The following is a 14,442-nucleotide window of genomic DNA, read 5'->3' on the forward strand; positions in this document are numbered from 1 at the left end:
TCCTTCTGGGGCCCACTCCCCCTGGGCTTTGGAATGGTTCTTCTCTCTGTCCTACTTCATTGGCTGACCTGTCTCTGTCTTAGCCATGCTTTCTTCTTTTCTACCGACTGGGAAGATAGACGGGCCTGGGCTCAGGTTTCTTTCTTTCCTGCACCTGCCCTCTCTCCCTTAGTGATTTAACTCAGACTCAGACTTTGTATACCGTCTATTTGCAGACTCTCAAATTTTTATGTCCTGCCCTGACTGCTCCCTGAAGTATGATCGTGCCAGATGGCCCTCCATCGAGTCTGCACCTATTGGCAGCCTCTGTCCCATCAGACATGGATGAGAGGACTGGTTCCCCTCACTCCATGGTGTTATCAGACTTGTTGAGTTTACCAGTCCAGGGGGTGAACTGTGCTTGTCTCAGTGTCGTTTTTATTTCCATTTTACTCATGAGTGAGGTTGAGCATTTTTCCTATTGCAGTCATCTGTGATCCCTTTCTGCTTGCTATTCATGTCCTTTTCTCTGCAGGCATTTAATCAGTTGCATCCTACTTGGGCTGTGTTGGGCACCAGACTCATGCATCCAAGGGCCACGACCAAAGAGAATCCCTGCTTCCTTACCCTCTTTTCAAACTCCTACTCGACTCTTCCCAGCTCATGGATGCAGCACCACTTTTCCTGTTGCTCAGGCCCCATACCTTGGGCTCATTCTTGATTACTCCCTTTCTTCCCACCTACCCTAATGCCGGATCCAGCCGCAAGTCCTCGCAGCTCTGCTTCCCAAGTAGATCCTGGGTCTGATCTAGCCTTACCATTTCCATTGCTTCCAACTTAGTCCAGGATGGTGTCACCTCTCATCTGGAGATGGTCACCTTCTGACGGGTCTTTCTGCTTCCACTCCTCCCCACCCTGCCCCCAGCCCAGGCTGTTGTCCATCCAAAGCTACATTTATTTACAACCATAAAGCAGATCATTTTACTCCCCTGTTTAGAAACTCAAAATGGCTTCACACTGTGACTCAAATGCAACCCAAAGCCTTACCATGGCCTCTGAGGCCCCCGGCTGCTTGGTCCCAGCCTTCCTTTTGGATCTCATCTGTGGTCCTCTCCCTGCGTTCACTGTGCTTCAGAGATGCTGGAAGTCTCTCCATCCACTGAATAAGGCAAGCCCACTCCAACCACATGATCTCTATACCTGCTGTGCCGCCCTCTGCAGGACTCCCCCCTGGTTGTTTGCAGGGTTGGCCACTTTTCATCAGGTCTTAAAACAGATGTCACCTCCTCAGATAAATCTTCCCTGACCACTTCGCTACACTAGCACCCCACTCCAGCCAGGCACTATCCCATTACCTCATTTTATTTTCTGTGCAGCACTGAACACCACCTGATGTCTTTCCTGTTTGCTTGTTGTCACCTGTGAATGTGAGCCCAGGAGGGCAGGGACTGTGTGTCTGGTAAATTCTGTTCCATAGATGTTTGTTGCATTGGTGAGTGAGTGAATATACAGACCAGCCTTATAGACATTGACATATCTGCACACTCACACTCATCTCCACGCCCTCACAGTTCCACCTGCACAGTGCTCAAACCTTAACACAAAGGCATTCACAGCCCCTCCACCTGCTGACATCTTGCCCTGACAGACCTCACAAGGTGTATACTCTCAACAACACACACGTACCTGCAGATTCACGCCTGTGCACCCTGCCACCATCACAGACCCCACACGGACTCAATGCCTCTCCCACAACCCCATCACAGCCAGTAGCTATAGACAGATGCACTCTTACACACAAACTTTGCAATCTATCTTCTACTGAGAACAGCTGATAGAGGATAGGTGGTGGGGCTAGGAGGCCTCCCCAAATCAGCCACGAGAGCAGCCTTTCTGTAACTGTAGGCTCTGCACCATGTCTGAGATCCCACCCCACTGGAGCCCCCACCCTCTGAGCCCCTGCCTCTCTCCTCATGTCATATGCCTGGACACTTGAGCTATGGAGGAGCCTCCCGGTGCAAAGCCAGAGAGCCAGAAACACTAACCCCATAAAGTCCCTTCTAGCCCAAGGAGTCTTCCGGGGGCCAGAGGGTGGTAGTAGCAGGTGGCAGGAGGACATATGTAAGATTCTGAGCTGGGAGACAAGGGGCAGGTACTAGAGGCCAGCCCCACCCAGACCCTGGCTGGTCTTGCCAATGTGGGGTCAGATCATGGAGGGAGTGACAGCCTCAAGCAGATGGCAAAGCCAGGCAGACAGACACAGGGCAGGGACAGAGATAAATAGAGAGTTATCAGCTGCTGGCCTGGTGCAGGATGAAAAGCAATGAACATGGAAATGGGGAATGGAAAGAAGACTAAAGTCAAATGGAAAGGGATGCCTCTCTGCACAACTCTCCAAACCAGGCTTCTGTGGTTCCTGGACACCAGCCCTTCAAGGGGCCATGTTCACACATGGGGCCTATCTCTTGTCCAGCCAGCCTGCGGGTCTGCACTCAGCTCAGGAGGGGGCCCTCCCCTCTGAGCTCTCCTAGCAATAAATCTCCCCTATGTGAGGGATGCTACGGTACACTGAGGGCAACGGTCCGAACCCCTGAGTGCCCTTCTGTTCATGAGCTTCTTTCGTCTCCTGCTAAATCAACGTAGTTTATGATAGGACATCTCGATGGGGCCAGGAGAGATTTTTGGAATCATCCCTTTTCCATTTTTTGGAAAGGAAACCAAACATTCAGCACACATGGCATCGGAGGCTGTGGAGAGGGGCCACGCAGATGGTGCTGAGTGACACACAGAGGTTTCATACCCTTTAATTCAAATCCAAGGTGCTCTGGCAGTGCAGAAGAGCGAGGGTCACAAAGGGAGGGGTGGAGGGAGAGAGACAGGTGGGTGGGGACAGGGGGAGAGAGAGAGACAGAAACGTTGGTCAGGACTCCTCAGACACCGGGCAGCCATCCTGCGAGGTGAAAGCAGGTTAGTAGTGTCCCCTCCCAGCCTCCTGAGCTCCTTCCCTGACACCCAGTCCCCAAGAGCCCCAAGGAGGGTAGAGAGAGATGTTAGAAACAGCAGGCAGGGCAGGCTCTTTAGAGATGAGCTGTGGGGTTAGTACCTGGTGGCGAGGCAGAGGCGCAAGAGTCAGTTGGCAAATGTCCCTGGGAGGAAAGGTAAGTGGGGGTGGGGGTCTCAGGAGCCCCCCTGCTCCTCCCAGCATCAGTGCCAGGCCTTCAGCACTCTCAACTCTCAAGCCTTCCTGCAGACAGCTTGCCCAGCTCCCTCATTGGGGGCCCAATTTTTTTTTTTTTGTTCAGAGTGCAGGCATGAGGTCCCCAGACTGGCCCCATGTCCCTGCTGTGCCCCACAGGCCTAGCTGGCCTGTCCACGTACTGGGAGCCCGGGTGGGGAGCCTCAGAGTCTGTGGGAGGGAGTGGGAAGAGGAAGAGGATGAGGCTCCAGATAGCAGGTCACTTCTCTACTTGACACCGCAACACCCTAGAAGCCTACAGGGCTGGGCCATGGTGCCTGAGCCTGATTTCACTACCCAGAAGAGCAAACTGCAACTCACAGGAAGAGACAAGTGGGTTCACTTGTAGAATGTCTGAGCTCCTCAACTGGTGGACAAATTACAGTCTTGGAAGTGGGATCCTGTTTTGAATGTGTGATTTCAGGACCCTGTGACGGAGACCCCCACATCATTGAAGGGTTAGATAAAAGGACCCTGACTCAAGAGTCAGTTCTGCACTGACCTGCTGCTGTGCCACCCTGAGTGATTCCAATCTAGTTAAGTCTCAGGCTCTTCTCTGTTACGTGGGGATCAGCCTGGGGCATAGGATCCTAGGAGGTTTGCAAACCTGGCTGAGCTTCTGAATTGTCCAGACTGAGGAAATCTGGCTCTGAGGTGGGAGCCCAGAAATCTCAACAGTGTTTTTAAAAAGCTCACCTACCATTCTAATGTAGCAGCCAGCATCGGTCTACAAGCCTAGAGTCTCCGTTTCATCCCTAATTCACTATGTGGATGTGGGTAAGCCATAATCCCTGTTTCCTTGTCTGTCCAAAGTGCTTGCACACAGCTACAGGAAGATGTGAACAAGCCTGGACGGCATGAGCTCAGCATGCGTGCAGGGCCCCGCTCCTCCTAGCCTGGATTGGCTCACTCTCTGGCTTCCCCAGGTGTATAGTCAGCACCACTAGATCCAGGGAAGGTGTGACACTGTGTCTGATATTCTCATCTGCCTTGGAGGAAGGCGAGCACGTGGCAATCCGCAGGAAGTCCTGCGCATTATCCATCCCTGGACCTCTCATCTACTTCCTGATAGGGATTCCAGAAGGTTCTGCATTTGGAAAAGGGCGGGAGAGCAGCATGGCTCCGAGCCAGGGACTGTGATGGCTCTGACTAAAGAGGCTTGAGGAAGATCCTGGGGCTTCAACCCCCCAGTTCCATGCAGAGACCACACCAATGAAGCATTCATTACTCCCAGCTTTTCCAGACACAAGCCATTCTTGTACTGCTATTAAATCCCAGGTTGGGGAGTGACCTTGACGTTTTGGTTTCTTTGCATTCCCACTCTGACTGCTTGGAGGCAGGAAAAAGTTGCCGTAAGTACAGTTTGTCCACTCCTCTCCAGGGTGTCCCAGGGCTGGTCAGGCGTGCTGAGTAGACAGTACAAACTTGACAATTCTCAAAGAACCCTGGCGCACCTCTCACTGAGTAGTTAATGCTGTGGCCCAGGGACCCTTCAGGCAGCTGGAGAGCTCACATTGTTTGGCTATCCAGCCATGCTGCCCTGAGAGAACAGCCCAGCTTGACCACAACACCTGGGACGCAAAGAGGATTGGGTTCATAGAGCTGGTCTGGGCCCCACTTTCCGACGAGGTGGTTGTATTAGATGAGGCAGCTGGGGCCCAGTGATGCTAGGACACTTTCCCAAGGTCACACAGCAAATTAGGAGGCAGAAGGGAGACTGGAGGCCAGACCCTTTGGTCCCTTGGTGCTAAGCCATGGCTTTCCTGCCCACTGAGTTTCTGGGCAGGCCTGGCTGGGTATTCCTGAGGACAATGACCAGCTGGAGAAGTGAGCAGGGCTCCCAAAGCCCTTTAAGCGTTTTCTTCTGCATCACTCCTCTGGGAACCGAATAGTAGCAGCTGCAGCTTCTAGGGCTCCTAACTGGCCTCCTCTTTGAGTCAAAGGCCAGTACTGTTTAGAGTGGTGGCTGGCATGATTGGTGGGGTCACTGAGGGCCTGGCCAGTCACTGGGTAGGCAGCTTTCTCACTGGGAAGCATGGGTTGGAACATGAGGGGCCTATGGCTGTGTCCGCCCCAGCAAAGACAAGACCTTCCCACTCATTATGTTCATTGGCTGCCACTCAGCCAGGGTGGAGTGGCACCACTGAGTCACCGGAAGGTCCTATTAACCAGAAATTTGCATGTTGACCAGTAACCATGGCAACCTGATGCTGGACTCCCAACAGGGCTGTGCTTACCAGACAATATGCAAATTCTTCATCCTGGACATGTCCCATGCCATACAGTCATAGGCTGCCTGGACAAGGAGGCAGTGATGTGTACAGATGTGAGCATGAGCTCCTGTGTTTGCACTTGTGTGTGCAGGTGTGAGCACATGCTCATGGGTTTGCTCATGTGTGCAGGTATGTAAGAACATGATTGTGTGTTTGTGCATGTATGAGCCCATGCTCATGCGTTTGTGCTTGTGTGTACAAGTATGTGTGCTCTTTTACATGGGGACATAAAGATGGACAAGCTTTGACCCGTGGGGAATGGAGGGGCTGTTTGTGGAAGAAAGAAAAGCTTCAATGTGCTATTGCAGTCACAGGCTCTTTCTTTGATCTCTGCAAAAGATAACCTGGTCTAGATGCTATCTGGGCAGGTTGGACACTTTGCTCAGGATGTGCTGGGAGTCAGCCTCTAGGGGGCTGATGCTGCCCTGCCCCCGCATACCAGTTGTAGCTGGGAGAGGTACTAAATTGTGCTCCAATCACAATGGCAGGCTCTCTGCTAAGCCCTTCTTATGCAGCACTTCATTTCATCCTCACAGTAACCCCACAGGCATAAATGTCATCATCCCCATTTTACAGATGAGAAAACAAATTGAGAAGTTAAAGAGGCCCCAGAGCTAGTAAGCTCAGCAGCTGGCATTTTTACTGAGGTCTCTTTGAATCCGAAGCCTGAACACTTAAGCCAGCACTTTACACTACCTTTTCAGTAATTATCTGCTAGAGCAGTACATGAAGTGCTCTCTGGGAAAGTGCTTGAAGAGCATAAATCCTTTACGAAAAGGTAACAGTCAAGCTACTGAAGACACTAGGCAGAAGGGCCTGGACTGCCTTTGCAGGCTCTTTTCTGGGCTCCCGGGGCCCTGCTGACCTTCCTAGCAGATCTAGGCTGAAAGCTGAAGCAGCCCAGCTGGCAGAGAGGCCTTGGATAGCGGCCCGGTTCCGGAGGCTCTGCTGCTCTGATTCAGGACAGGCTGGGACTCGCCATCCAGGACAGTCTCACAAGCCCGGGAGGCTCTCTGCCGAGAGGAATATTGCCCCACTGTCTCTTGCCCCTGGCCCCCAGCTCTGCCTAGGCTCTGCCTTCTCTTGAGGTCCCTCCTGCTCTACAGTCCTGCACTCAGGGCTGGATATGACTCTGAAATGATTGCAGAGCCTGCGTTCTAGAGAATTCTGTTGGGCCACATGTCCTGCCCACAGGCTCTGCCCTTCCTCCTTGGCCTCCCACACTCTATTAAGATAGTTGACCATCTGGGCCAAGCAGCTCCCATCCCCCAGGGGTCTCTATGCCCCTGTGGGGTTGGGGTGGGGAGTAACTTGCTGGACTTTTGTGCTGTGGTCTGAGGAGTACTGGGAAGGATCATTTCTCCACCCTGAGACCTAAATCCCCAAACCCCTTTTCTCCAAGGCTACCTACATGGTCCCCTGGATCCCACCTTTAGCACCTCCCAGAGTTCTACCTCCCAGTATCCAGTGCCATGTGGACACTTGGTTCCACACTCCTCATGGGGCCCAGCTGTCCTCCCTGGAGAAGAGGAGGTCGGGGGGCACGCAGGGGCCTAGCCTGCTCTGCAGGATGGGATGGGTAACTGGGGACAGGCCTTGCAAGCCAGCGGACCCCTGGTCCTCAAGCAGAATCAATGGCCGGCCAGAGGCTTTTTGTTCTGCTCCACCTCCACCTGGTGGTGCTGGAAGGAACTGCTCTCAGGCCCCAAATAAAAGCACTCCATAATTATGGCTGGGTCCTTGGGCCTCGGGGCTCACTTTTCTTTCTTTCTTCTCCTTCTTCTTCTTCTTTTTTTTTTTTTTTTGCAAACTGTGCAAAAGGGAAAGCTCCAACCTCATAAGTTGAAGAAAGGAAGGGAATAAAATCCTAGATGGGAGGATTCAGACCACAGAGGTGCTGAGAGAGTCACCAGTTACCCCTCAATTCCTCATTTCCTCAACTTTTTAGCATCTCCAGCACCAACCCCCGCCCCCTCTCCCACCATCCTGTAGCCACATAAATATCTCTGGTATTCATGGAAATCATTGCCCTGGGTCCTGCTCTCCCTTAATTCCCCTTCCTTCCCTCTACCCCATTTCCAAACCCTCAAAACAAACAAACTCTGGCCAGACTGGAAAATGGGCTTTCTGAGAACTTTTTTTCTCTCTCAAACACGTCGGCACACACACACACACACACACACTCACTGCCAGACCCTTTGGTACCCTCAGGCAGCCTTCGGAGCAGGGGAGGGCTCTGCAAATGCTTCCTCCCATTCTGGCCAGGCTGCCCGACCCCAGAAGTTGGGAGGAGGCCTGGGTGTGGCCCTGGCTGCTGCAGAGAGAACTTGGCATTACTGTGCCCAGGAGGTACAGCCCACATGTGGAGGTGGGGGTGCCGGGGGTGTTTCCGTCTCCTCTAAGGAGCGCAGGACACCCTCTACATCTCCCCCTAGTCTTGCTAAGCAAGGCCCCATCCCTCCCCAGGGGGAGACTGTCAGTCACCAGGGAAGAGAAGAAATAGAAGAAAGAGACATACTGGAGAAGTTGACCATTGCGAACTGCTGACACCTGTCCCCGGTGTATCCCACAGGACACCTACCAAAAGAAAGAAAACCAGAAAGAGAGAGCCAGGATAGCAAGACACAGGCATTGCAACACCCCGGCACGGGCTCCTGCCAATGCCAGCTGGGTTCCTTGCCACCGTTACCATTTGTATTGGCCTTGCCACTCTGCCCCTTACCTGCAGCCCTGAACTTTAAACCCAAGGATTAGGCCAAAAATGAAAACAAAGCAAAACAAAACAAAACAAAAAGAACTAACAAACCAAAATACAAAAAAGAAAAGAGAAACAAAACAAAACAGCCAAAGATCAAAACAACCAACACCCCTGGCCCTATGCCCTACATTGGGGGGACTGCACCCAGAAGCTTTCTAAGGAGCAGGGACTTGTGTTTGTATCTTCAAACATACTTTGCTTAGGATCTGGCATGTACAATCGCAAAGGCAGTTTCTCCAAACATCTCTGTCCGAAGAATCCATTTGGACATCTGGAGAAGGAAAAGGGGAAAAATCACAGAACAAACTGGCATCATCCGCGAGGCTAAGGTTAGAAATCAAAGTGCACAGTGATGAATGAGAAAAACCAAGTCAGGCACTTGGGGTCATACTTGTAGCTGAAGGGACTGGAGTCAGGGCTGGGTGGAGGGCTCTGAAATCTCCTTAAAAATCTGTCTCATAGATGTGGCTCCATGGGTGGTGGGGAAGGTGGGGTGGGTCAGGGGGAGGATGATTTAGGTAAGTGGGGTGAGGGAAGATGGGAAATTGTCCTACTGGTCATTGAGACTTTCCTTCTTACCTGCCTGGTGCCCCATGAAGCAAGCACTGTGGCCTCTTGGTGCCAGGCAGTCAGTCAGCTGGCAGGGATCTGGGAGCCTTAAGGAATACCAAGTTCTTGGGAGCTACTCCTCCCAGGACCGACTGAAGGATTCTCTCCTGGGCCCTGGGCAGGTTTTCTCATCCAAGAAACAGCCCCCAGGAAACTCAGATAACTCGGGAATGCTGTTCCCAGACTGTGTATGTCTTTGACAAAAGTGACCTAAGAGATGTTTTATCTGTTCTTTCAAAGAGGGTTCTGTGGCCAAATCAATGTAGGAAATACATTCTCAGGGTGCCTTGTAGAGTTGCAGTGTACCTTCACCTATGAAAGACTATGAAAGTTTCATAGGAGGAAATAGCTGAACTTTCCATGTAAGTTCTCAAATTTATTTGTGTTTCAAATTTACTTCACCATGGATGTTGTTTTTTGAGGAACCCTTGTGGTAGAACATGGTTTGGAATAGGCTGCCCCAGTGTGATGTACATGGGAAAAGCTTAGTAGGGAAATGGGAAGTTGGAGAGGAGCTGGAATTATCAGCATCCCAAAGTGGGCCTTCCTGATACCAGGTGCAGGGAATCTGGCCTCAGGTAGCAAGGACCACAAAAGGGATTGGAGCAGGCTCGCTGGGGGACCCTGGAAGCCTGGTCCACATCAAGGTCCTAGTGGCAGCCAGCCTGCGAAACTCTTCCATTTCCCCATGACCTGTTTCTCCATCACTGCCTGGACCTGCCCTGGATCTCATTCTCTGATCTTGCCTTGCTTACAGCTCTAAAGCACCCCCCACTCAATCTCCCTGACCTTGTCTCTACCCACAGGGTACACGTTCTTCTGCTCTCTGGCTGCCAGCCCTCTCCTCAAGCGAATCTCAGATTTCTTGCAGAAGTCTTGCAAATTTCTGGAGGACATGCCCAGCCCTGTACTCTCTTCTGAACCCCGGCAAGGCTGGATACCTAAGGAGAAGCTTACAGGGAGGGCTAGACCCCTTCCCCACATCTCCCTACTCAGAGATGGGTCTATATTGCCTCTGCATCTTCTTCCTTAGGAAATTAGCTAAGTTCATCACCAGTGTCCCCCTCAATAATAGGCTACTGTTCAAAATTAATCAATGTAAACTTCCTCAAGAGGCAAGTGTACTCTATTTCTTAGCATTGCAGTATATAGCAACTGTCAGGAAGCCACTTAGGCTTACAGTAAGTGGCAGCCATTGGTTGTGACAGATACTCATGAACACCCTGTGACCTCAAATCTGGAGGAGTGGGGAATGGGAGTGGTAGTTGAGCAGAGGGCTAGAGTTTCTCTGGGCCTTGATGGCATCTCCCCCAGGGGAGGCAGGAGGTTTGTCCTGTAGTGGTAGGAGTGTGTGTGTGGGTATGCCTGGCTAATTGGGGGGTGGTGGAGGGCTGGGAAGTGTATCAGGGAAGTGGCATGGGTGGGAAGAGGGTACATGGTCGTCTTACTGAACAGGGTGGTTTGGAGGAGGAGACTGCCATCAGCCCCCTTGTCAACACATCCTTCTCTGATCCCTGGCCCTCGTCCCTATTCATCCCAGCTCAGGTAAATGGAGGTAGTGGCTAAGGCTTCCCAACCAGCTCAAGCTCTTCTTCCTTAGCTCTTGGAAACTGATGTCCACTTGTGATGGGGACTAGAGAGGGAGAAGTGATTTTCAAACATAAGTGCCTTTGGGAGTGGAGGATGAAGACCCAGGAAGTTGCCAAATGACTCTTGGATTCCACAAAGGAACAAGAAAGAGACAGATGTGTCTGTGTCCAATGTCTGAGATCAGCCCAGCTCTTGGAGGAAGGGAAACCTGTGTGTGTGTGTGTGTGTGTGTGTGTGTGTGTGTATGAGTGTGTGTGTGTGTGTGTGTGTGTGTGTGTGTGTGACAGAGAGAGAGAGAAAATGGGGGAGTACAGGGGCAGGAGGGGCAAGGGGAAATTTATTTCCATTGCTGACAAGCAGGGCTGCTGTCCCAAGACCCTTGGAGAACAATGATAACAATGATAACTCCATACATCCCTGTGGCCCTTATCTCACACCCAGCCTGGACTATCCTGACTACAGACTTACATCTTTCATGGCCGCTGAGTTGCACAACATTATGGTCCTAACCTTCCTTCCTTGAGAAAATGTGCTCCCCGCTGGCTGAACAAAACAAAAGGCACTGGGGAGGGGCACAGTGGGGGTGGTGGAAGGCTGACAGCTACTGCTGTTCTTTGGGGTGCTAGCTCCTTCAGGGACCTCCTGGACACTCCTATGTCTCTCCTTAGTCCTGTTTGCTGAGGATGAGTCACATTCAGGAGACTGGGGCTTCCCTAGAGAAGGCTTTGGGGGTGAGCTGGGCCTATAGCCTCTCTAACCTGCACCTAATACCAGGGTAAGAGAGTATGGGGTACATTAGCCTATCAACCAGGTTGGGAGTCTGAACTCAGCATTGGGGGCTGGGTGGTGGTTGGTGGTTTCCACTGAAACTGGGATTGACCCTCTGATTTTCAGGGGGCACAGAGGACAGATTAGAAGGAGCAGCGGGTAACAGCCTTCCCAGCCTTTCCCACCAGGTCATCAGTTATGACTCTGGGGAAGGTCTGTCCCCAGGGCTGGAGAAGAGCAGGGTGAGAGAGGGGCAGAGAGGAGAGCCCACGGGCTGCATCTGGGGTGACAGAGAGGTCAGGACCTCTGCCTTCCCCTTTTCCCACCCCACCTCCCGGGCCTCAGTTTCTCCTTTTGGTAGCCTGGGGATAATGCCATGTGTGCTGCCCTCACCCGGGGGAGGGGGTGGATGAAGGATGGCGGTGTGCCCCGGGCACTGGAGGGAGTGAAGGGCCTCTGAGTTCATGAGAGGGGTGAAGATGTGGCGAGGATGAGCAGGCAGATGGAGGTGGGATGGGGAATCACCTGGACATGGGTGGGGTAGGGGCAGAGGGATGAGGGGGATGAGCTGATGGGAAGGGGAGGCATGCCACTGGTATGTGCACAGGGCTGGAAAGAGTCTTGTTCTGTCATCATCCCCTGAACCAGTCCCCAAGAGTCACGCACCAACCGTGCTCTACAAACACACGGAGAGAAGAGGAGAAAGCAGCAAGAGGGAGTGCAGAGGCCCCTGTCTGGCCCAGACAGGGGACAGTCACCTTGATTTGGACTCCCATTTTCAAATCCCCCTACGTTGTCTTTTTTTAAAACAAAATTCAGTATCAGTGACACTGTTTCTTTTGGCACTGAATTCCAGAAAAACAGGAGGGACGGAGTGTGCCTGCTTTCCAACACTCCCTGCAGGGCTCTGAACCAATACACAACAACAAGTGTAAGAAAACCAGGAAGGAAAACTGATTTTTATAGAAACTGGAATGAAACTGACCAGTGTAGTTTCATTATCCAAGCTAAGCGGAAATGCAAAAAAATCAAAATAAAAAGTAAACAAACAGCACAAATGGTAAGACGTGAGTTCCGTTTCCTAAGTTCTTTCCTTTTTATTCCATTCAGGTGTCATCAGGAACCCCAAGAGGCCTGCCCACCTTCCCTCCCAGCTCGTCCACCCGCAGAATGGCCTCTGGGCTCTGCCCTGCCCCCCACCCCCCTGCCCTTCTCCAGCACAGCTCTGAGGACCTGGTGTTCTGACCGCATCTCCACCAGGGCTGCCCTCTCCCCCGAGGGCTGACAAAGGGTGTTGGGGAAGTTGGTTCCAGGAACCTTGGCTGGAACCAGGGGAGGCTGAGATGGGGAAGTGGTGGCTCTGGGTACCAAGTTCTAAGCAGTGCAGCCCAGGTGCCCTGGTGGGAAAGGGAACAGGGCACCATCTTCACAATGGCTCAGGCTCCTGCCTCTGCTCCTCTCAGATTTAGCTGGGCAGGACTCAGAGGTCCTAGGGGTGCAACCTTGCTGGCAGGGCCCTCCTGGAGCCCACATATCTCACCACTCCCTTGCCCACACCGAACTCTAGCACTGGAGCCCTGGCCCCCATGGCCCTCCTCAGCCCTGGCACCTGTCCTGAGGGGCCAGAACCTTCCCTGCCCGGACGAGGGCTGACTTCAGTGACAGTGCTGGATCCCTTCAAAGTCTGGGGTCCAAGGGGCTAGGGAAGAGGAGAGACCTACCTAGTGTGTATGTCACAGGGAGGAGGAGGGTGCAGGAGACAAGGAAATGGGGATGCAGGGCTGGGTCATCCCTGTGAGGTATTCCAGGACCCTGATGAATTTCTAGTAGATCTGTTCCAAAGAACTCTGAGCAAGTTTCACAGCTAGAATGTTCCCTAGGGTCTGTCATACTAACATGGCAGCCTCCTAGAGGCAGGAGGCGGGGAAGGATGAGGGGCTGAGTTTGGGTTGAGAACTTCCCTAGAGGGCCTGTTGTTGCTACTGGGACTCTCCTCTAAGGTTCAGGGAGGGGGAGAAGGAGGTGGCAGCAGGGGCAGGGTGGGGCCAGGGAGGAAGCCAGCTGAGGAGGCCAGCCGGGGCAAGAGCCCCTCGTTACCATGTTGTTAGGTGGAGGGGTCTTGAAAAGTCCTGGCCTTCTCAGACCAGGCTCACATTCCCGGGCAAGGGTGTGCCCAGGAAGGGGGCTGTGGATCTAGAGCGGGAGATCAGAGGCAGGGGAGCTGAGAAGTGTTGAGTCTGACCTTGCCTGGGGGAAGGTCAAACATCTCTCTCTGAATCCCCATCAATGTTTTGGTGGCCTTTGCCCAGATGCCATGGGAATGGGGCAGCTTTAGCAACTTGCCAGGGCTCTAGGCTTGGGCTGCTTTGAAACACTGAAGTTATTAACTAGGCCCCCCTCCCACTCCTCTCCTAGATCTGTCTGGAGCCTATGCTGCCCTCACCAAGCTCCCCTCCCCTCCTCACACACTCACCAGAGAATCTGTCCAGGGGGCACTGTAGGCCCAGCTGCCCAGAAGATCTGGCTGGGCCTGAACGAGCCCTCCCTGACAGCCTCTCTCCCACCTGCCTTGTTTGCTATGGGGAGTGGGTGGTTCTGAGCTCCTTGGAGTTCCTGCTGGGGCCACCCTGCCTGGCTGGTGAGCAGGCTCTGGCCCCTGGGGAGGCTGAGAGGCCCCAGCCTGAGCCTCTCCTCCACCCTGACCTCCCCCATTGGGCCATACCTAGAGTAGTGTCCTTGCTGGTATCCCCTCATCCCATGGAGTGGGGGCTAGGGGCTGAAGGGACACAGGCAGCACCCAGGGATGGCATCTTTGTACAATGGGGTCCTGTAGGGCAGAAGGGCAGCCAGATCCTGAGGTCAGTACTGGGTTCTGGGCAGACCCCTCTTCTCCCCTCAAGACTACAGGAGCAAAGGGCTCTGGAACCTGTGCTCTGCCTGGCCCTGCCAGGCTCCTCGCTATTGGGGAAGATGCAGCCTGGGAAATGTTCATTAAGAACAAAGTTTGGAGAGTTGCTGAGAGATGGGGAGGAAAAGAGGGGGGGAAAGAGAGACTGAGGGAGGCAGAGAGAGAGAGAAAGAGAAACCCAGTGCCCAGTGCCTAGGGCATAGACTAGCATCCCCATCTCCCTAAAGGGTGTTGGTGAAAGGGTAGACATCAGGAGATGGGGTGGGTAGGGGCCTGGGAAATGGGGACTGCACAAGCCCCTGTGCCCCTTAGAGCTTATATC

General features: G+C 53.0%; 1 protein-coding gene across 10 annotated transcripts in view; it reads right to left on the reverse strand.

Moving 5' to 3' along the window:
- NRG2 (neuregulin 2) overlaps positions 1-14,442 on the reverse strand; it is a 196,519-nt gene that overhangs the window by 10,329 nt on the left and 171,748 nt on the right. For 2 of the 10 annotated variants that reach the window (XM_047417897.1, XM_006714810.4), the window contains 3 exons: positions 8,440-8,516; positions 8,006-8,064; positions 2,780-2,803 (listed from right to left, as the gene is read on the reverse strand). The exons of 1 other annotated variant lie outside the window; for it this stretch is intronic. In XM_047417897.1, the coding sequence (XP_047273853.1) occupies positions 2,780-2,803; positions 8,006-8,021 (40 nt within the window). In that variant the 5' untranslated portion in view covers positions 8,022-8,064; positions 8,440-8,516. Of the gene's footprint in view, positions 1-2,779; positions 2,804-8,005; positions 8,065-8,439; positions 8,517-12,284; positions 12,610-14,442 lie in introns of those variants that run through there. 7 more of the 10 variants (NM_004883.3, NM_001410780.1, NM_013983.3 and 4 more) reach the window with 6 other exon arrangements.

The sequence above is a fragment of the Homo sapiens genome, chromosome 5 (genome assembly GCF_000001405.40).
Source record: "Homo sapiens chromosome 5, GRCh38.p14 Primary Assembly".
Classification (NCBI taxonomy): domain Eukaryota; kingdom Metazoa; phylum Chordata; class Mammalia; order Primates; family Hominidae; genus Homo; species Homo sapiens.